The 21,881-nt window shown below is 49.9% G+C and overlaps 1 protein-coding gene across 1 annotated transcript in view, besides 4 other annotated features; it reads left to right on the forward strand.

Moving 5' to 3' along the window:
• Positions 1–21,881, forward strand: part of MYOM2 (myomesin 2) — a 100,411-nt gene that overhangs the window by 7,334 nt on the left and 71,196 nt on the right. Inside the window, exons 4-10 of the mRNA NM_003970.4 lie at positions 4,969–5,107; positions 5,244–5,401; positions 6,774–6,866; positions 16,899–16,987; positions 17,068–17,118; positions 19,966–20,130; positions 20,960–21,121. Coding sequence (NP_003961.3) covers positions 4,969–5,107; positions 5,244–5,401; positions 6,774–6,866; positions 16,899–16,987; positions 17,068–17,118; positions 19,966–20,130; positions 20,960–21,121 — 857 coding nt within the window. The remainder of the gene's footprint in view (positions 1–4,968; positions 5,108–5,243; positions 5,402–6,773; positions 6,867–16,898; positions 16,988–17,067; positions 17,119–19,965; positions 20,131–20,959; positions 21,122–21,881) is intronic.
• Positions 5,114–5,614: an enhancer, noted in NCBI's record as "H3K4me1 hESC enhancer chr8:2005611-2006111 (GRCh37/hg19 assembly coordinates)". NCBI's record gives its function as "activates a minimal SCP1, AML or CMV promoter by ChIP-STARR-seq in naive H9 embryonic stem cells {active_cell/tissue: H9 hESC(naive)}" and the evidence as "EXISTENCE:reporter gene assay evidence [ECO:0000049][PMID:30033119]".
• Positions 8,447–9,369: an enhancer, noted in NCBI's record as "H3K4me1 hESC enhancer chr8:2008946-2009868 (GRCh37/hg19 assembly coordinates)". NCBI's record gives its function as "activates a minimal SCP1, AML or CMV promoter by ChIP-STARR-seq in primed H9 embryonic stem cells {active_cell/tissue: H9 hESC(primed)}" and the evidence as "EXISTENCE:reporter gene assay evidence [ECO:0000049][PMID:30033119]".
• Positions 9,370–10,290: an enhancer, noted in NCBI's record as "H3K4me1 hESC enhancer chr8:2009869-2010789 (GRCh37/hg19 assembly coordinates)". NCBI's record gives its function as "activates a minimal SCP1, AML or CMV promoter by ChIP-STARR-seq in primed H9 embryonic stem cells {active_cell/tissue: H9 hESC(primed)}" and the evidence as "EXISTENCE:reporter gene assay evidence [ECO:0000049][PMID:30033119]".
• Positions 11,988–12,535: an enhancer, noted in NCBI's record as "NANOG-H3K4me1 hESC enhancer chr8:2012487-2013034 (GRCh37/hg19 assembly coordinates)". NCBI's record gives its function as "activates a minimal SCP1, AML or CMV promoter by ChIP-STARR-seq in naive H9 embryonic stem cells {active_cell/tissue: H9 hESC(naive)}" and the evidence as "EXISTENCE:reporter gene assay evidence [ECO:0000049][PMID:30033119]".

Raw genomic sequence — 21,881 nt, forward strand, 5'->3', positions numbered from 1 at the left:
TGAGGAGGGAAGAGCGACCTTAGCTGAGAGGGAAGATCAAGGAACACAGGCCATGCCTGGGGTGAGAGGGAGAATGCTGCTGTTTCCCAATCACCTGCTTCTCTTTACCATCATTATCTCAATTAATCTGAACAAGAAAACTACTGGGCACCAGCTTCCCACCATTTTGCAGAAGAGAGCGTTGCTGTTCAGAGCGCTCACGCCACTGCCCAGGATTCCATGTCTCACGCATGTCCCAGCTGGGCTTAGAGCTCCAGGGTCCGTGGCTTCCAAGCCAAGCTCAGTCCCTTTCCAGACAGAGCAGGATAAGCACACATGAAAACATCAAGACCTAGCAGTGTGAGAGTAATTCTGAATTTCCACTTGCAACCTCTGTAGCTATGCAGGAACAGCCGTGGAGGGGTGCACATTCAAGCAAGGTCATCTTCCTAAGCGGGAGCCAGGGTTTTAAACAGTTGTCGTGTGGAAACTAAAGAGTTGGGAAGGGATTCTATAAATTGTCATGCTTTACATTTCAACAGAGGCAGCTCGTGGGGTGAAATGTCATGGGAATGGGATGGATTAATAAAAATGCCAGTCTTAAAATTATTTCCAGATGACGGAGAAACAGGTGGTGATATGGCTTTGATCTTTTAAGGACAAAGTGAACAGTTAAACGTTCGCGGGTGCCTTGTTTTATACCTGCTGTATTTTTTCCCTCATCTCCCCCTGCTACTTCTGGGAATTTTCTCTATATCTTCAAAGCATTTAAAACCTGAAGGAAAAATAAGATTTGAGTAAACATCTTTCATTTTGAAAGTTTCAGAAAGATGAAGTCATCTGTTGAATATAAACAATGTATAGCCAAGAAGGTTAACGAAGGTTAACATTTATTTTTAAAAAATTGAATTTTTTTAAATGTCATAGGATAATTTTGCCATGTAAATGAATTCTAGTGTAAAGTGAAGATTTCTTTTGTGAAAGAATCTCTTTGAAATGTAGATGTTAACACAATCCAGATTTTTATGTATTGGATTAAAGGGTTCTTCTACCTATATTTAGGTTTTGGGGGCTACAATAGAATACTTGAGCTTATCATTTTATTTTTATCATTTAAACATTGATGTGAACTTGAACATATTGCATAAACTTCCTATCGCTCAATTTCCCTGCTGGTAAAATGGTAACAGTGAGTGGCTTACTGTGATTCATATGGTTTTGGCAGCAATGACTTTCAAGACAGCCTTGGCTGCTGGAAATTGTCCTAAAACACATTGGTCTATGCTCTTGCAATACCAAATCTGACTCAAAGAAGGGATTTGAGTGACTGGTGAAGGGGTTATGTTCTCACGGCACCTCTGATCCTCACGTTAAATGCCAGTCTGTCTTAGACGTAGTAGAGACGGGGGACGAAGGCTAGGCACTTTCTCAGCTTTGTGTGGAGCCCACGGCTCATGCTCTCCATGAGATTTTCTTCAGCAGCCCCCGAGTGTTGTATTCTCCTAACCCATGTGCATGTCTTCCATGGGGAAGATCGTTTTGAAATCAGTTCTTTCCTCCTTTAAAGGTAAACATAAGTCGTGGGGATCTCAGTGAGTTGGGCAAGTTCTAATTGAGATTTATTGTGAAGCCTGCTCTATCACCGTCATGCAGAAGGGCCCAGGAGGGATGAGTGAGCCCCGTGCTGAGTGATGTGAGCAGCTCCATGGATTCCAGCCCTTATTAGAATTCACCACTCTCACGGGCTGCAAGCATCATCACAAGCATGTATTTATCCCTGACCTCCCAACGTGGATATTAGTTTAGCGTGCTGGACAAGTTGGTCCTTTGCAAAAGATGAAATTGTGGGCTCACTGATGTGAGTTACTGCTGATGTCCCTGTGTCAAATAAATACTGAAGAGACATTGGCGCTCTGAAGGCACTCAACACGTCCTTCTGGAAGATACGACCCCGATGCTCTGAAGGCACTCAACACATCCTTCTGGAAGATATGGCCCATTGGAAATGTCCCTCTGACATCTTCCTTCAGTCCCAGTGAAAAATGGGCCTCCCTGAATCTTGCAAGCCACCTGTCCCGGGGCTTGTCATTTACAATCAGTGCATGACAAATGACGTTACTGTGCACACGTGGGCTGAAGTGACGGTCAACTGATCATCAGCCGGCAGAAATATTTCCTCAATGTCCTGACTTGGGGTTGGCTGTGGGAGGAATTCCAGACCAATTAGTTATTCTGAATCATGGAGGGTTAGAGGATAGTGGTGCTATTGACCTAAGAATAAGCTGAGGCTCTTGTTACTCAAACATAAAGAGCCCATAGAAAAGTAAACGGTGTCAAGAGAGGACATCTGAACCTTTAAACTCATCACAGTGCTGCGTGGCGCAGACCAAGCTTTGTCTTCTCGATCCCTGCAATTTGGTGGGATTCACTCCCCTGTAAGAAGGCTTGTTCCCTGCAGGACATCTGACGCCATCGTTCATTTCTTGAACACATATTCCTAGAACTCCTCCTGGCACCTGGCACCTGGATACTGGGGAACCAAGTACCTGGATACTGGGGAACCAAGTACCTGGATAATGGGGGAACGAAGTACCTGGATACTGGGGGAACCAAGTACCTGGATACTGGGGGGACGAAGTACCTGGATACTGGGGAACCAAGTACCTGGATACTGGGGAACCAAGTACCTGGATACTGGGGGAACGAAGTACCTGGATACTGGGGGAACGAAGTACCTGGATACTGGGGTAACCAAGTACCTGGATACTGGGGTAACCAAGTACCTGGATACTGGGGGAACCAAGTACCTGGATACTGGGGCAATGAAGAGGGCATTTTCCCGCTTTGTTGGGATTCAGAGTTACAGGACAGGGCTGGTGTCATTCAACATGCACATGCATGTGCTTATAGAGGTGGCACGTGCTCTGCAGGAGGAGGATGAGGACGTATGAAAGAGACCCACAGGGCTGTGATTTGAGGGTGGCCCTAGGGGAGAGGCTCTGAGGGAGAGACCCCTGTGCTGAAAGCAGGAGGAGCAGAAGCCAGCCCATTAGAGGTTGGGAGGAATCTACCCCAGGCAAGAGGGCATGCAGAATGGCTGAGGCCCAAACAGACTGTTCCCTAAACATTGTAGGGAAAGGCTGTGTGTGTGGTCGGAGCGGGGACAGGGAGGTGCGAGGTGAGGTCCCCGATTCCTAAGGAGATAAATCCACATTCCTTTCATGGTTAGATTTTAGGGTTCCTCCCACCTCATTTCTGTACGAAGAGGCTGCAGACTTCTGCAATTCTGATTGCGAACTTCCCAAATGCCTAACACCAGGCCTTAGTCTTAATCGCTGCTGGGGAAGCGCTGGTCCATCGGAGCCGTGTGGGGTTGTGGAAGCACCTCGGACAGAGGCCCTGCACCCTGGGTCTCGGACAGGCCTTACCGCCAACCTGCAGCGGGTCTCAGTTCTCCCCAGGTCTCTGGACAGCCGTGATGCTACGGTCCCCTCCAGCTCCGATACCGGGACTTTCTGTGCGATGTGGCCCTGGCCAAGAAGCCTCTTGGTGGCTCGTGCACAGTGCCACAGGCGGCGCTCCGGCTCGGCCACCTTTCCCTCCACCGCCTCCTTCCCAGGCCGTCTGTGCAGCTTCCTGTCCCTGCCACTCGGGAACGAACCTCCCCCAGCCTAACTTAGACTACTGAGTATTTATGAGACATCTTCTATGTGCTGAAGCTGGGGAATACAGAGGTGAGAAGTAGCCAATCCTTTCTCCTGGGAAGGATAAAATGTATGCAAATTACGATCATAAAGGCCCTAAGAGAAATAACAGGAGGTCTGGCGTTCAAGACACAGGGGAGAGGATTAGGGATGGCTCCGTGGGAGACATGGCATCTGAGATGGGTGTTGGAGGAAGGATGGAGTTTTGATTGAAAGGGATGGCAGTGAGATGTTTCTCACGAGTGGGACAGAATCCCAAGAGGGGAGCAGAACAGCGAGCGTCCTAATTTCAGTGGGACCTTGGGAACGCGATGGTGAGGGAGGTTGATGAGGCTGAAAGAGCTCCTGCAGGGTTTCCAGAGCATCTCAGAGCATGGAGGCAGGCCAGGCCTGGCCGTGTTGGGGTGCGATTTGTGGGGTTCACAAAATGGCATGTGAGCCGCGACGATGTGAACATTTCTGAGTCCCTAAGGACTGAAGATGCTGAATCCTTTAATCCTTTATTTATTATTATTATTTTTAGTATTCAGACATTCCTATCTGTATATTTTTAAACTCAAAATACTTTAATTCAGTTTTAAAATCACTCAGAAACTGCATCCTTCTCAGGAAAATAAATGGCTTTTATTTGCTGCCCTGCAGAGGAAAACTCACACATGGGGAGCTCACCATTTTCCTACATTTTCAAATCATGGAACTGACTTCAATAGCACCGTTAGCCCAGTAGCACCTAACAGTTTTGAGTCTCAGACCTGGGAAAGCATCAAGCCGTTTATCGGATAAATCCACAGAAGTTCCCTGATTTCCCGAGTTGCCCTGTCTTTACTGAGCACCTGCTGCATGTGAGTTTCTGTGCACACGAAGATGAGTAACAATGTCTCTGTTTTTAAGAGCCTCAGATTAAGTTCCCGACTCTCTGAGTGGGTGCCTGTTGTCTTTTGCTGCTCACGGTAATTCTCCAAAGCATCTCTTAGGGCCTCCAAGCGGTTTGCAGTTGTGCACTGTCAGTGGTGAAAGAAAGTTGGGGCAGGCACTTCCTGTATTTTTTTATTAATAAATCACATACATGTTCTTCTTTACAACTTCATCATGCATGGCATTCACACACCAAAATATACTCTTGAAGATAGATTCAAATGAGCAGAAGTAGCATTTCTCCTGTTCTCTTCTTGAACGCACTTAAGGAAACCCTAGGGAGAGAATGGGCATGCCCTTTCCGGCCTTCGGGGGCCACGTGGTTTTCTTCGTGACTCCTGCAACTGAGGCTGCTTCTCGGCTCCTGCAGGTACCAGTCCCTGGTGGCCGCCTATGGTGAGGCCAAGCGACAGCGCTTCCTCAGCGAGCTGGCCCACTTGGAGGAGGATGTCCACCTGGCACGCTCCCAGGCCCGCGACAAGCTGGACAAATACGCCATTCAGCAGATGGTAGGAGGGTCTCAGGGTGGCTGGGTGTCTGGGAAGCGTGGACTAGATCTTAGCTTGTCTGCATGGTGCTTGAGGGGCCGAGGGTGGAGCTTGGCTCGCTGCCTGGGAACCTGACCATCCTTGCTTCTCGGGGCAGATGGAGGACAAGCTGGCCTGGGAGAGACACACATTTGAAGAGCGGATAAGCAGGGCTCCTGAGATCCTGGTGCGGCTGCGATCCCACACCGTCTGGGAGAGGATGTCTGTGAAACTCTGCTTCACCGTGCAAGGATTTCCCACGCCCGTGGTGCAGTGGTGAGGGGCTCTGTTCCCAGGGGGTGAAGAAGTCCATTCTGCGTTTTCTTTCAGAAAGACCCCAGTTAAGGAGACAAACGCCATTGAACCTGTGCTGGAGGCCACTTACCTTGAAACTCTAAGCAGAAATATGTTTATAGAAGCTCTGAACGTTCACTTTAACTCATATGCAAACATTTTTATTTTCATGACATTGAGTCAACAAATTTTTCAGAGGGTTTTTTTTTTTTTTTTTTTTTTTTTTTTTTTTTTTTTTGAGATGGAGTCTCGCTCTGTTGCCCAGGCTGGAGTGTGATGGTGTGATCTCAGCTCAGTGCAATCTCCACTTCCCTGGTTTAAGTGATTCTCCTGCCTCAGCCTCCTGAGTAGCTGGGACCACAGGTGTACGCCACCACGCCTGGCTAATTTTTGTATTTTTAGTAGAGATGGGGTTTCACCATGTTGGCCAGGCTGATCTCAAACTCCTGACCTGAAGTGATCCACCTGCCTCGGCCTCCCAAAGTCCTGGGGTGACAGGCATGAGCCACACGCCTGACCAGAGTGTATTGTTTAAAAGTCACTACCCTGAAATGATCATGGCTGTTGTCCTGTTTGCAAGAGCACGTGCATGATTGCTGACTGTACACAAAACTGGAAAGTCTGCTTTTCAATATGGAAAACTCATAAGTGGAAAGCATAAACTCTAAAGTTTTGGGACTGCAGATCTGCAGTTAATGAAGCTGTGGTAATTGAAGAATTACATCTTTAAGCCCTCAAGACCCTTTTTGTATCAACATATATTGCTAAAGTTATACGTATATATCTATGTGCATTTATATGTGGGGTTGGGACTCTGAGCCACAGACCAGGCATATCGTGGCTGATGGCTGGATCCTGAGGTTCTTTGGAAGACAGGCTTGGGAGGCTGAGGCTCGCCTGCTCTTGATGCGGAGGTGCTGGGGTGGATGTGGTCCTGCCTCCTGGATGGAGCCATGAAGCCAGCTTCCTTTCACCAGGGTCAGTGCGTTAGGTCCCGCAGAACTCCCTGAGACACTAGCTACACTGCAGCTTAAGTAGGCGGGTCCGGGATCCAGCACCCAGTGTTTCTTATGGAATGACAAGTCCTGAATTCCTAACAAAGGTCAGGCAGGTGTTTGATCTGCCGAATGGGGAATCCCCTGAGAGTCTGAACGAGGAAAGCGCTGCTCTCGCCTTAGAAAGCAAAACCAGTGCGAACTCTGGGCCTCACCGTCAGGGCTCTGTCCTCCTCCCGCCTGAGGCTCTAAGGGAAACCTGCAGAAATGGGCAGCAGGCGCGGGGGAGCTGGGGCAGAATTGCACACACACAAAATACAACTCTGCCTTTAAACTAAAAACATGCCTCCCTCATTTAGGTACAAAGATGGCAGTCTGATTTGCCAGGCGGCTGAACCGGGAAAGTACAGGATTGAGAGCAACTATGGCGTACACACACTGGAGATCAACAGGTATGGCTGTGGTGGGGGCTCTGGACGCTGGCGTCCAGTAATCAGCATTGCAGACCCCAAAGAAGAAGTCAGATGGGTAACTGGAGGCCAAATCACACCTGTCTGTTTGCACCCCGGGTGACTTTAAATAGCATTTATGAGTTAATGGTACTGGTGTTGGAAGCTTCCCTTTGTTTTTCTTTAGTGTCTGGCCAGAGGAATGCAAACTCTGGGAATAAAGACAGTAGATAGTTCAGGGAAAGGTAATGGCATCTGGGTGGAAAGGCTGCCATGCAGTGCAAGAAGCTTTCATTGACACCTCCTGCCAGGTTCGAGAAACACACCCTAAGTTCAGACTCTTCAAAGAATGATAACCTTTATTTTCTTTTATAACAAATCAAAAAAGTATATGAAATGTAGACAAATAAAAGAAAAACAATCATCTATACATCCAGCACCCAGGGTCAGTATGTTGCTGTATAGCTGGCATTTCTTTTTTCCTCACGCGACACACACACTTTTTTTTTTTTTTTTTGAGGCAGAGTTTCGCTCTTGTTGCCCAGGCTGGAGTGCAATGGCATGGTCTCGGCTCACCACAACCTCCACTTCCCAGGATCAAGCGATTCTCCTGCCTCAGCCTCCCCAGTAGTGGGGATTACAGACATGGGCCATCACGCCCAGCTAATTTTGTATTTTTAGTAGAGACGGGGTTTCACCATGTTGGTCAGGCTGGTCTCGAACTCCCGACCTCATGTGATCCACCTGCCTCGGTCTCCCAAAGTGCTGGGATTATAGGCATGAGCCACTGCCCCCGGCCCACACATTTCATTTTTTAAATAAAAGTGAGACACTGCTGTTCTTTTTCTGTTTCTGTGCATACACGGTTTTTACTTTTCACAAAAGACCCTGACATTACACAAGTCAGCTTTTTTCAGCAGTAGTATCTTGTGGCACCTTCCTATGGCTCTCATGTTAATTTTTCCAGTGAACCTGACTGCCTGTTTTTGAACTTAAGGAGCACACGCTTGTCCAGGAGCCAGAAGGCCACATTTACCATGTGACTTTGAATAAGCCATTAACGCCTCCTGAAAACAATTATCAAGAGACAGATAGTAACAATTTTATCTTCTCTATAGGACTAAAAGAGTTACTGTGAGACTCCAATAAGAAGATGCATGTTGTGTTTATATATGTTTATATATATAACGGGAGGTGTGGGGTGTGTGTGCTTGTGTGTGTAGTCAGTTATATCAAATCCCTTCTAGGAAAACATGAGGGATGTTTGTATAAATAAGGTAAAAAATAAGTGAGACATTGGAACATACGATTTTATTGATTTTATTCTGACTAAACTGTAAAGCAGTGAGTGCATCATTGTTAGGCCTCTGTTCTTCAGAGGAAAAGGTGCCTGCTAATTCCCAGAGGGAGCTCAGAGGAGCTCAGGAGGGTGAACACAAATGTTGATTGATCATCCTGCCTCCCCTCCCCAGAAGCCTGCTTGGAAGGAAAGTCTTGCTCTGTTCGTTTGTTTGTTTTTTTAAAGCTTTTATACATTGGATCCTGTTAAAAAGTTATCCTGACACTCGTTAAGGACATTAAGGAAGACTTCCTTCAAGGACCACAGGGAGGGATTCTTGCTCTGGGGGAGAGAAACCGGGCTCAGCTCTGAGTACAGCAGGAAAGTGGGAGTGAGACCAAGGAGTAGGGTAGGGCGGATGGGAAATTACTAGGGGGAGATGGGGGTGAGGGGGTTCCGGCCGAGCCTCCCCAGCAGGGTTCTGGCTGAAGGCAGGCTGGGGCCATCAGACATCCCTGGGGATGGAGGGCTGAGGAGCCCATCTGCTATCGAGGGAGGGGCTTGAGTTGGGCTGAGCTGGTGGGATTCTTACTGTTGAGGGCCCACCAAGCCTGGGGCCTGGTTGGGAAGAGGGTTGAAAGGAGCTGTCTCCGGTTTAGTGAGGGAGGGGGTCTCTGTCCCCATCCAGCCTGGTGTTTAGTGAGGGAGGGCGTCTCTGTCCCCGTCCAGCCCAGTGTTTAGTGAGGGAGGGTGTCTCTGTCCCTGTCCAGCCCAGTGTTTAGTGAGGGAGGGCGTCTTTGTCCCCTCCAGCCTGGTGGTTAGTAAGGGACTAGTCTTTGTCCCCGTCCAGCCTGGCAGAAAGTTGGGCTCTGCCTGGCTTCTCTCCCTCTGTCTGGCTCCTGCCCTGTGCCCTCCCCCAGCATCCTTACCAACTCTTCCTCTTCCTGCCTTCCCTTCCTCCTGTTCCCGACTCTACCTGGGGCGGTGGCTTCAGCCAGCTCTTCCTGATGCTCATCCTGGTGGCCTGAGCATGGCTTCTGCCCGGTGGTGCCCCTCCCCGAGTCAGGGGGTCCACCAGCTCCTCTGTGTGTGGGACTCCCTCCTGCTTCCTCCTCCCAGGAGCCTGCATGGGGCCTGGGGCCTTTGTCCTGCTGGAATGGTCCACCCTCTGCAGATTCACTAGAGTTGGGTGTTGAAAGGCAATAATTGAGATTGAAATTTGCAGGGCATCCTACCTCATTTCTCCAGATAAATCCGGGTTTCTCTAGGAAAGCTCTCCTTCTGGCGGGCTCCTTGGCCCTGCTCACAGAGAGCTTGCTGTGTGCCTGGTGCTATCCTGGATGTTCGAGAGGCTTCAGGGGCCAAGACAAGGATGCCGCCTTCCAGGTCCCACTCTCTGGCATCAGGAGGCAATTGATGAGTGAAGGACACAGCCAGCCACAGCAGCTGTGGGTGAGGGGAGGGGGCTGTGGCCCGTTGTGGTGTGAAATAGATGCCAGGTGGACCTTCATGGAGATATCACATGAGCAAGGCTTGAAGGCCAGTAGAGGACCCAGAGCTGTGGAGTGGGTGGGCCCCCTGGCACAAAGGCTCTGAGAGGTGCATTGGGGGTCCTGGGCTGGGGGGTTGGCAGGGGACAAGCTGTCACAGGCATAGCCAGTGGCCCTGCAGATCACGGGGACCCCGTGGGCCATTGTAAGGACATTGGCTTTGCTGGAGGGAGGCGGGGAGACCCCAGAGGGCTGAGGGGAGAAGGAAGGATGTAACATTGACCTCTAGAGGATCACTCTGACTGCAGACAGGCTGCAGGGCCTGGCAGGCCTGGTGGGAGCCCTTGCTAGAATCCGGGAAGGAACACAGGCCTGGGAGCGGGAGGGAGCAGGGGAGTGGGAAGAAGTGGGTGCTCTGGGCAGCTTTTGAGGGTAGAGCCAGCAGGATTTGCTGCTGGGCTCGACTGGGCATTAGTGAAAGAGAGGGGTCCAAGTATTCTCAGAGCTGTGGCCATCACAGCGGGGTAGGCCTGGGTTGGGCAGTGGAGTTAGGCACAGGCTGCAAAGGATGCCTCTCCTGGGGCCCTCTCCAAGTTTTTCAGAGAGAAACTTTCTCTCCTTGGATTTCCGAAAGTTGTGGGAGTTTTAATAGACCGTAGGCCGTCATGTCTAGAAAGAGACCACCTGCCTTCATTTTGGACAGCTCATGGGTATGTGGGGCTGTCTGCTTTCTACCCTGTGTGTGCTGTGAATGTTTAGGGGTAAGTAGGTTGGTCTGAGTTCCAGATCAGCTTGTTCCCAAGCTGTGTTCTGATAATTGTTTTAAAAAGAAAAGAATGATATACCTTTCTCAAGAATGAAAAACGTTGCGTTGACATCGGTGTTGGCAACATTTAAACTTTACATTGGGCACCACATGGGCTTCGAACGGAATGGACTAATTTGTGAGATAAAGTCGTTGAATCCGCCCCGGAATACCACAAGTCAATGATCCCCTAATATAGGTCTCCTCTGATGGACTTGGATTTTGCTTGCATATGCAAATATTTGGGAAACTTGGGAAAAGGAAACTTCCAAGACCACCTTTTGTCTCAGTATTCTTGTTGGTCCTAGGAAGCTCCAAACAGATGAAATGTTAATATTCTTCGGGAAAAGAGCAATGAGATAAACCCACAAATTACAGCTTGTCTCAGCTGTTCATACCAAACTGCTGAGCCGCCGGTCATCCGATCTGTGGCCATTTTCAGTGGCAGAATGTGTTGGCACCCACCTCTTGATTGGCTCAGGAATGAGCTTTTCCTTCTGTGACATGAGTGACATTTATTCCTATGAATATTCCTTGGCCACGGTAGCTGGATTCTTAAAGTGCTGAAAAAGAAGCTCCCCCTTGGTACTATTTTATTTTAAATTTGTAATTGACACTGTTTTATATGCTCATAAGATTTTCCCATGGGACTCATGATGTGAGCCCTCATTCTTCAAAGAATATGATGTTCTCATATTTTTATGAAAGTATTTATAATAGAACAATCTATCTGGTTTTCTATCAGTAACGTGCTCACTCCCCATTCATTCTTTGCTGAGTGATTTTAGGGTGAAACGTTTTTTGTACTTTATTTTTAGAGCTTGATGTTTAAATTTTGATTTAATTAAATTATAAATCCAGCGTCATCACCACTTATAATTTGAGGACATGAGGCCCCAGCTGCCCATGAGAATTGATATGGCACTTAACCTTATGGCTGCCCATCTTTAAGACAGGACAGAACCAGCTTCTCCCAGGGGGTTGTTTTAGGGGCCTTCAAACAGATACTCTGGGATGCCAAAGGGCGCCATGGACGTTTGTATAAATTGAGACCAGAGAAGACTCTCTCCATCTATTCTGGGAACCTGTCAGAACAGGAAATAAAACCCTTGCCTCTCCCTCACTTGCTTGCAAGTTCTCACAGCATGAAGCAAAGGCTGGAATTAGACTGGGGGTGAGCTGAGTGCCTGTGTGGGGCCTCGGGAAGGGGAGGAAGACGGGGGTCCTTTGGAAACTGCCCATGGGCCAAAGCTGTGATTTGCCTCCAAATCCCAAGTGGACACAGGCTAAGCTGAGGAAGTCTCCGCGAGAGTGGCCGCCCTTCCTCCTGCATCTGCTCCGTCGTCTGCCCAGGCCCCCTGCTTCCCGGCCTCGGGGCAGGCAGGGGGCAAACCCTGGGAGGCAGGGCAAGGGTGCCCTTACCTCCCTCCCAGGGCAGGTCTTTGCGTTTGTTTATAACCTACACAGGGACCTGTGTTCCAACACACTTCATACAGTATGAAACAAGGTCGAAAGAGAAAAGGTGAGACAGCGGGAACCATAAACAGAAGGCCTAACTTACCCGTGCCCACCGTGGGGGTGACCGCGAGCTCCTTAGCGGGGCGCCTCCTGCATGGAGTGGGGCCACCGCCGTCGTCAGTGGGTCGGGATCTTTGCTCCGGTGACGGGTTTCTTTACAGAAGGAAGGAGAGCGCTCTCTTCGGAGAGCCCACGTGTTTTGCAGTCGCTGCGGGAGGCCAAGCGGATGGAGGGCTTCTTCCCCCAGTGGCTCCTGCCTCTGAGCACCAAGTGCTAATTGGTGACTTGATGAGCTAATCAGTGCTAATGCGCGAGGTTGCACTCCCCTGGGATCTTAATGCCTGAAGTCAATTGAAAAACAAGCTCCTTGCCCTTTGGGAGAGGCTGCTGGCTGGCGAGGGGGGCCGTGGCCTGGGGAACACATCTCCCTCCTCCTTCTCCTCCATCCCCCTCCTCCTTCTCCTCTCCTGGCACCAGTGATCTTATTTCCTACATTCTTAGACAAGGTTTATCCCCTTCCTGTACCCCTCCCAGCTATCCCCTGCCCAGGAGCTGTGAAACAGCAATTCATTGCAGTTCTCAAAAGACTTAGAAATTGTGTTGCTTTATAGGACTGTAAGGGCAAGGAGGGATTTCCGTAGAGGAGAGGCCAGAAGGAATCATCTTTGAACTTTTGGTTCAGGAATTCAGCTATTATTTCTTAGTTACTAATATATAAGATTAACATTATATGATAAAACCACAAAATGTTTTCAAGTACATTGTTTTATTTAATCATCAAAGTCACCCTAGTCAAGTGTGGGTGCTCAATACATGTATTCTAGAAGTCTAAAATACCCACAATGTGTTTATTATATAGTCAGTAGATAAGAATGATCGGGCTGGTCTCATGAAGGCACCAGTTTGGAAGGAGAATTTGAGGCTGGCAGCTGCAGGTGTGTAAAAGCCTTGGCAGGCCAGGCACGGTGGCTCATGCCTGTAATCCCAGCATGTTGGGAGGCCGAGGCAGGTGAATCACGAGGTCAGGAGTTTGAGACCAGCCTGAGCAACATGGTGAAACCCTGTCTCTACTAAAAATACAAAAAATTAGCTGGGTGTGGTGGTGCGCACCTGTAATCCCAGCTACTCAGGAGGCTGAGGCAGGAGAATTGCTTGAACCTGGGAAGCGGAGGTTTCAGTGAGCCAAGATCACGCCACTGCACTTCAGCCCGGGTGACAGTGTGAGACTCCATCTCAACAAAAAAGAGCCTCGGCAACTATTTTTGCCCTGGATTTTCTTCTTATTTCTTCTTATTGCCCAGTGTTTCTTCTTATTCTCTATTCTTCTCATTGCCCAATATTGAAAAAAATCCTGAATCCAAGACAAGTAGTTTCAAATGAAAACATTTTTACCTTGACATCTCAGAATATTATCCAATTACATAGAGGTAGTAGGAGAAGCTCTGCCTGAGGCCCCGGTACCCATGAGTTAAGTGGCTGCGTAAGGTTCATGTTGGGCTTCGTGCCTGACAGGTGTGTGATGAGCTGAGTCTACACTGACACCACAGTTTAAAAACGGCTAAAACACACGGAGGAAGAAATGTGCAGCACACGGGGGAGATTCCAGTTGAGAGCCGTGGGGCGCAGTGTGAACGCTGTTGATGTTACTTAACAGGCAGCAGCAGGGTTTTCAAGGGGTTGGCTGGAGCCCTGTCCATGTAGCCCACACTCCCGCTCCTCGAGTACAAGGGTGGGTCAAGGCGTTCACCCTTCCTCACTGAGGAACTGGTCATGACGGTGACCTGCTGGGCTTGGGGACAGCCCGTGCCCTGGTCCAGCCGGGTCACATCCCGTGAGTCCTGCCCTGGTCCAGCAGGGTCACGTGCAGCGGTTCCTGCACGGGAACTGCCCGTGCACCTGCTCTGTGCTTCTCTGGTTTATGGCTCCCTCCTTGAGAATCTGAGTCCACCTGGCTTGTGCGTTCACAGGACAGGCTCCAGGTCAGCAGATTCCGATCAAGCAGATTTTACAGACCGCCTTGCTCACTTCCATATACTCTGGCATTCGAATCCTTCCAGCGGTGCCTGTGGGAGGCTGTCGCCCTTGTTTCTCTCATCTGCTGTGTTATTGCTAGTGGGGGTGGGATCGTTGTAGAGGAAGGGTTAGGATGAATCCCAAAAGAAGAATATATTTGGGTTTGGAGAATGCATTTTTGAAAACATAATGGTTTTATTATTTAGAAGAAGTAACATGAGCACAAAGTAAACAAACAAACAAAATGCAGCAATGCCCACGGGTCCTGCAGAGAAGCACCTCCTCCTTCCACCGCGGACCCCAGTCCCAGGCATGTTCTGAGAGGCAGCAGCACAATGCGCTCCCTGTGGGGATGCGTATGTGAGTATTATGTGTGAATTATATGGGTAGATCAGCACAGGTTGTTAATGCTTAGCATTGGAGAAAGCCTCTACTTATGGGGTTTTTATGTGTTTTACACACACTGTTGCTTTGCACCTGGGGACATGGCTGTGCCTGTGGTGATCTGGAAATAGGACAGCAGCGTAGCTTCTAATGAGTTCAGGCTAGAATTGTAGCTTTGCTGATGGCTTTGTAGTTCGGCTTGTATTCCTCCACGGTGAACTAGAAGATAATGTTCTTGGTTTGAAAATCTACCCAGACTGGGCTCTGGTGTGTGATCTGTCCCTTGAGCAACGGCAGTTAGGGAGGTCAGATGGTTTTATCTGACATATTGAAACTGGATTTGAACTTCAGCAGGAGGGGAAAGAATTCTCAGTAGATAGCACAGTTCTCGGACACGTTCTTTCCCTTTTGTTGGAGAAACGGAAATTTTTGATCTAAGAAAATATTTTCAGCACGTATAGTGGAACAGAGAAGAAAATAAAATTACTAATGACTTCGCAGGAATGGATTTTGTCTCTGGAGGCACTGGCTTCTTAATGCATTTGAAAAGTGAGACTTGAGTAACTCTTGCTTTTCTCAAAAGTGGGGACTTTTTGTGTTGTTTCTTTTCCCACGTTAAGATTCTGCTCAGGTGTCCATGGCTTGGAAAGGAGCTACCAGAAAGAATGCAATTTTGGAGTCACGTGGACCTTGTTTACCTAGCTTCTTACCTTACTGTGTTGATTGCTCACCATCCTAGTGGGATAGTGATGTCTGTTTTCCAGGCTACTTGAGGATGAACGTGGAAATGCTGATGTGAAGTGACTTGAGGAGGGCTTGGTGTTGAGTAAAAGCTCAGCTGATCTTAGCGCCTCTTCCTTACCCCCTCTTGTCTCCATTTCCTGGGGAAGCTGGTGGGAAGACAGTTCACAGCCAAGAAGAGAAGTTTTAGCTTTAGTACCATGGATATGGGGAAGCAGAAGACCCACCCCCACAGGTACTTGGGTTTTGTGAGCCTGGCTATTCCTAAGTCATGTTTTTTTTTGTTTTGTTTTGTTTTCCCAGGGATAAACACACATCAGTGTCTCAGGTGGAGTCCAACTCAGACATTTCAATACACCCTTGAGTGGGTGATTCATGTCTTGGGATCATATTACTTTGGGATTCTGGATGTAGCCTCTTATTAGCATGGGAATCCTACTGGGGAGCTGGGTAGGGTTGTAGAATCTGCTTTTGGAACAGGGAGTTTGTCACTTAGAAGTTAATCGGTCTCTGCACCTTGGAACCCTCTGTGTACGCCAGGTACAAGCTGTGTTGAGGGCTTCGATGGGTTTTCGGTGGTTTCATCCCAGGATTCTCATCCCAGGGGCATTAAAGGATGGAGAGCATCGTGGGCGCAGCTCTTCAATGCTCGTGTGCGCCAGGCAGAGAGCATACCGGGGGGCGGCAGCTCTTCAATGCCTGTGCACACCAGGCCGAGAGCATCCTGGGGACAGCTCTTCAATGCCTGTGTGCACCAGGTGGAGAGCATCCCGGGGGCAGCTCTTCAATGCCTGTGTGCACCAGGCAGAGAGCATCCTGGGCACAGCTCTTCAATGCCTGTGTGTACCAGGCGGAGAGCATCCCGGGGGCAGCTCTTCAATGCCCGTGTGCACCAGGCGGAGAGCATCCTGGGGACAGCTCTTCAATGCCTGTGTGCACCAGGTGGAGAGCATCCTGGGGACAGCTCTTCAATGCCCGTGTGCACCAGGCGGAGAGCATCCCGTGGGCAGCTCTTCAATGCCCGTGTGCACCAGGCAGAGAGCATCCTGGGTACAGCTCTTCAATGCCTGTGTGCACCAGGCGGAGAGCATCCCGGGGGACAGCTCTTCAATGCCCATGTGCACTAGGCAGAGAGCATCCTGGGCGCAGCTCTTCAATGCACGTGTGCACCAGGATCACCTGGAGAGTGGAGCAAAGCTCAAGCTCCCGGACCACCTTAGAACTCGCATGGGATGGACTGCCCCATGGGAACGACTCCCTGTATGGGAACGGCTCCTGCATGGAATGGACCCCCCCGCCATGGTTCAGGGCCTCCCTGAAGCAGCACTCTGCCTTCTCCTCTGGCAGCATCCTGGCTCCTACACGGAGCAGGTCCACGGCTCTCCCAGGCAGGCTCTGTATCATCCCATCACGACTGGTTCTGCTGGAGCTTGAGGTCACGGGAGGCTGTCCATTGACAAGATGAAACCGCGCATTCCATAGAGGTAGAAAAAATAGGACCAGAATGGAATAGAGACTTCTCCTTGAGAATGAACAAAGGATTTTCAGGAGTGCCAGTACCTTTTTATTCTTAAGGCCGAAACTGCACCATCTTCTGGGATCAGGCCTTCATCTGTGTCTATAATTAATACCGAGTGCTGCCTCACCTTTCCAAGGACAGAGCTGGCATTGTTCTTGCACAAATCACTCATGAACAAATAAACCACGCCATGTGATTTGCTTTCGAGGAATGCTTTTGTGCAATTCGGGTCACTGACTTTTACACAACAGTCCCGCAGACTTTCTCTTGTTTTTTTCTCTCCAAGGGCAGACTTTGACGACACTGCGACATACTCAGCAGTGGCCACCAATGCCCACGGACAAGTGTCCACCAACGCGGCGGTGGTGGTGAGAAGTGAGTGCCGGGTGGGCTTTCACGGGGCACCTCCCGCCTCCTTTTCTCTTTTCTGCTGCACTCACTTTGCTGTCTTGCAGGGTTCCGGGGAGACGAGGAACCATTCCGTTCGGTGGGACTCCCGATTGGATGTAAGTGGGTTTTTGTTTCTTTTCTGTGTGGTGAAATGTTTAGTGACATAGCAGACAATTTGAAAACATGGTTTCCTAAGGGCCAAATCTTTTTTTTTTTTTGAGACGGAGTCTCACTCTGTCACCCAGGCTGGAGTGCAGTGGTGCCATCTCGGCTCACCATAAGCTCCGCCTCCCGGGTTCACACCTAAGGGTCAAATCTTTTTTACAAAAATCATTTCAGAGAGCTCCTCCAAGTTTCTCCTGGCCAGTGTTAGCATGCTGACAATTTGTTCCCATGTAATTCTATGGCTAGGTGGTATTTTTAGACTGGTGAAAACATCACTTGGAGAGACTTTACGTTTTTGAACTGGAAAAAAAGAGACACATCCAAATTCTTGACCTGAATGCATCATGTTGCTGTTTCGTGTTTAAGGAGATGTTTTTTTTTTCTCCAAAAGTCTCTTGGTCCTTGTAACAAATGACTTCAGGTCAAAACAAGGGCAGTGCAGCAGGCTTTGGTCCAGAGACCCGCCCCAGGCCTAGGACCTGCCCTGGCCCTGTAATGAGGCGAAGCCCTCTCTGGCCCTGAGCTGGCTTCACCCTAGCAGTCCCATGGTGCTGGGTGACCCATGCTGGGTGAGGTGAGGCGGTCCCCATGAGGGCATCTGGAGGACGGGGACATGATGGATGCCCTTTCGAGGCAGCTTGTTTATGGCTTGGGAGTGAGTTTTAGAATTGGCCTGAACTTCCCAGGAAGGAACCGTACATTCCGATGGAAGCACTGATTTTACTGTAATGCGAGGCTTAGTTGCTCTGGGCCACGTGCTGGGAGTGGAGAGTTGACCGAAGCAACGATGGAGGGTGGAGCCTCCTGGCAGCTGCTGGCCGCTGTGGGCGTGGCCTCTGCTCGCGATTTCTGTGTGACTTTTTTTGCTGGGCTACATCCAACACTCGGTGAGCCCCCAAGACCACCAAAGGGCAGGCAGGGATCAGTCCAAAGTGAGCCTGGGGAGCCCGGGAGATCTGGGTGTCTGTGTGTAGCTCTGGCCCTCAGGACAGCACAGAGTCTGTGTGGAGAGTTGCCCCAGGCACTGATGAGCTGGGCAGGTCCTGGCAGTCACCTGGTCCCATCCCGGGGTTTCTCCTATCTATTAACATTTTATCTTCCTCATTAAGAACTGTGGCGCAGTTACAGCATAGATCACCATGGAAGAATGCTCATGTGTTCACCACCCGTGTTTGACAGAGGGAAATATCTTGCTATTTTTGCTTCAGTTGTTTTTCGTCGAAGTCAAATTTATATAACACGACATTAACCATTGTACATAACACAATGTTAACCATTGTACAGCGTACAGCTCAGGGTAGCTTCAATTATTTTCCAAGAACTGAAACAATGACAGAGATGATGGAAGCAGCCAGTGCTGCTCCTGCCCGTCTCCCACACCGTCCTGGCATTGGCAGTGGCTTTTTAAATTTTTTATTTTTATTTATTTATTTATTTTTGAGACAGGGTCTCACTCGGTCGCCCAGGCTGGAGTGCAGTGGTGCGATCTTGGCTCACTGCAGCCTTGATCTCCCTGGCTCAAGGAATCCTTTTGCTTCAACCTCCCAAATAGCTGGGACTACAGGCGTGTGTCACCAAACCCGGCTCGTTTTTTCTTTATTTTTTTATTTTTATTTTTTTTTGCATTTTGTAGAGATGCGGTTTCACCATGTTGCCCAGGTTGTTCTCGAACTCCTGGGCTCAAGTGATTCTCCCACCTTGGCCTCCCAAAGTGCTGGGATTACAGGCATGAGCCACTGTACCCGGCCTGCAGCTGTTGTTTAAACTTCCCTACATGCATGTGTCTGTAAACCATACAGTTTTTTTTTGGTTTTAAAAATTCAGTATAGATTTTTTTCCTGACATGTATGTACTTCTCCCCCTACCACACATATTTTTGAAATTTAACCAGGCTGACGCTTCTGGATCTAGTTACTTCATTTGGGTGAACTCTAAACTCTACGGATGCAAATACCACCGTTTGTTTTGAGGAGGAGGCAGCCGTGGCTTCCAAGTCCATGTGACTTGCCAGAAGCCACAGTCTGGGGCTGAGGTTGGACTTAAACCTTTGGTCTTCACACACGATCAGGTTCTCAGCCCTGCCTCTGACGACACCGCAAAGTCGACTTTGTGACATTTAATTCTTCCGCAGTGGCTTGTCTCCGCTCCGGCTGCTGGAACAACACGCCATGGCCGGGGCAGTTTACGAACAGCAAACACTTATCCTCTCTGTTCTGGAGGCAGAAGCCTGACACTCAGCAGGCATGGCTTCTGGTGAGGAGCCTCCTCCCGGGTTGCTGACGGCACCTGCTCACGGTGTCCTCACGTGGAAGGAAGGAAGGTCTGGCCTCTTCCTCCTCTTCCAAGGGCGCTCATTCTCCCCTGGGGTCCCACTCTCACGATCTCATCCCACCCTCATCACCTCCCAAAGGCCCCACCTCCTTACACCGTCCCATTGAGGGTCAGGGATTCAACACTGGAATTCTGGGGGGACACAGACATTCCGTGTGGAGCACGGACCTGGCTACGGGTGTTCCATGCTGTGGGGCGGTGACAAAGACGTGCTTTTGCGGTGACGGTCTGAGTGTGTCTGCTGTCAAAGATGCTCTCTGCCCTAATGGCGTGAACCCGGGAGGCGAAGCCTGCAGTGAGCCGAGGTCGCACCACTGCACTCCAACCTGGACAACAGAGCGAGACTCCGTCCCCCCGCCCCCCGCCCCCAAAAAAGAAAGATGCTCTCTGCCCTTCGGCCATGAAAGCCTCCATCGTTTCATGCTCTCTGCCCTTCGGCCCTGAAAGCCTCCATCGTTTCTGTGCAGTGCCCCTGTCATCGATGATTCCGTACACGCACTTCGACGTCCAGTTTTTGGAGAAGTTTGGGGTCACCTTCAGGAGGGAAGGCGAGACGGTCACTCTCAAGTGCACCATGCTGGTGACGCCGGACCTGAAGCGGGTGCAGCCGCGCGCCGAGTGGTACCGCGATGGTGAGTAGGACACGGCCCAGACCCGGGCACACACCAGGAGGCTTTTGGACGGAAATGTCCTTTAAATGTGGGTGTCAATGTGGCTTTTGTCTCTACCACTGGGTCAGCTCCAGACAGCGAAACAAACTGAGGGACTGTAGAGGACTTGGTGGCCCACCGTTCGCCTTGAACTTCATCCAGGAGAATCCTGGAGAGGGAGACCCCGAACCTAGAGCAGCCACTTAGAGACTGAGCGCTCGTACAGTGACAGAAAGAATGATCTCGTGCCATTTAGATTCAGTTTAATGCACATTACTGCATGGAAGGGGCTGGTTAGCAGCTTGTGTACTATTTCTAGACAGAAATGCTACCTTAGTCGTATTGAGATTCTTTTCTTCCTTCCATCCAGTCATTTTGTTTTTAGAGTTTGATGATATGGAGGGTCTATGCTGGGTTCTTTGGAGATGTGACAGTAGCCCCTTCAGCTGCACACCCCTGTAATCCCCCACGGGCGGGGGGAAGCCGGTTGGGGCAGTGGCCGTCCAGCAGAGAAGCAGCGGGCCCCCAGGTGAACCCAGTTTACCTGAGGACAAAGCTGGCGGCCGCTCGCAGCACGTCCCACTTTGACCCACTCAAGTGGCAGCCTGTGTTCTGGGCTGTGGGTGCTCAGTTCACGCGTGTGCTTCCACGAAGTGCAGCTGTTGGGATTTTACCAGGCTGAGGCTCTGCCTTCCGTGGTGTCCAGCTCGACTGTCCTGTCCCGCTCTGAGACGACGCTGGTGTCCCCGAGGCTTTCTTTGCCTGCTGGGGTGATTTTGGATGCAAACCTTCCGTGTTAACGCTCTTTCAGACGTGCTGTTGAAAGAGTCCAAGTGGACGAAGATGTTCTTTGGAGAAGGCCAGGCCTCCCTGTCCTTCAGCCACCTGCACAAGGACGACGAGGGCCTGTACACCCTGCGCATCGTGTCTCGGGGCGGCGTCAGCGACCACAGCGCCTTCCTGTTTGTCAGAGGTGCGGGCAGCAGGGTTCTCAGGGTGCAGACCTTGTGTGTGCCCGGGGAGGGGAGGCAGCCCTGGGAGGAGGGAGGCGCTGGGAAAAGGAGTCCAGAGGGTGTGAGACCACTTTGCTCCTTGGAGACCCCATGCGGCCCCGATTTTCCCTCAGTGCATGGGCACGCCAGGTGCTTCCTGCCGATGAGCAGACGGAAGAATCGGGACACAATCCGGAATAGACCAGAATCATCATTTTTTTGTCTCTTGAATCGTTCATATAGTCATTAGCATTTGAAAAACGATTCCCAAGAGTGAGTGCCCCAGATTTACTCATTCTCAGGGAACGTAGCCCGAGGATGAAGAGGGGCACAGTGTTGGAGTCCCAGGGAAGAGCTTCCTTACTCTCCTGCCAGCGACTCATTCCCTCTGGACTTTGGCTTAAGAGAGGCAGATGTGATGATGATGACAGCCAGTGCTGTGACCTCCACCACCCACTTCAGTGAAACTCGTGCTTAAGACACTTGTGGCCATGACAGCTGTCATCACCAGACGCTTTATGTCAGGCAGTGTGCTGGGGTCCTACACGGATTTCGTCTTCACAGCAGACTCACTAGGGAAGCTTCACTCATTCCATTTATGAAAAGAAAGACAATATTTGTGATATACAGATATATATATTTATAAAATGCCTATTGTATACAGCCTATAGGTGTGCATGTATGTGCCTATACTTACATAAACATCCATGTATATATAAGCTGGAATTCTTACAGTGATAG

The sequence above is a fragment of the Homo sapiens genome, chromosome 8 (genome assembly GCF_000001405.40).
Source record: "Homo sapiens chromosome 8, GRCh38.p14 Primary Assembly".
Lineage (NCBI taxonomy): Eukaryota > Metazoa > Chordata > Mammalia > Primates > Hominidae > Homo > Homo sapiens.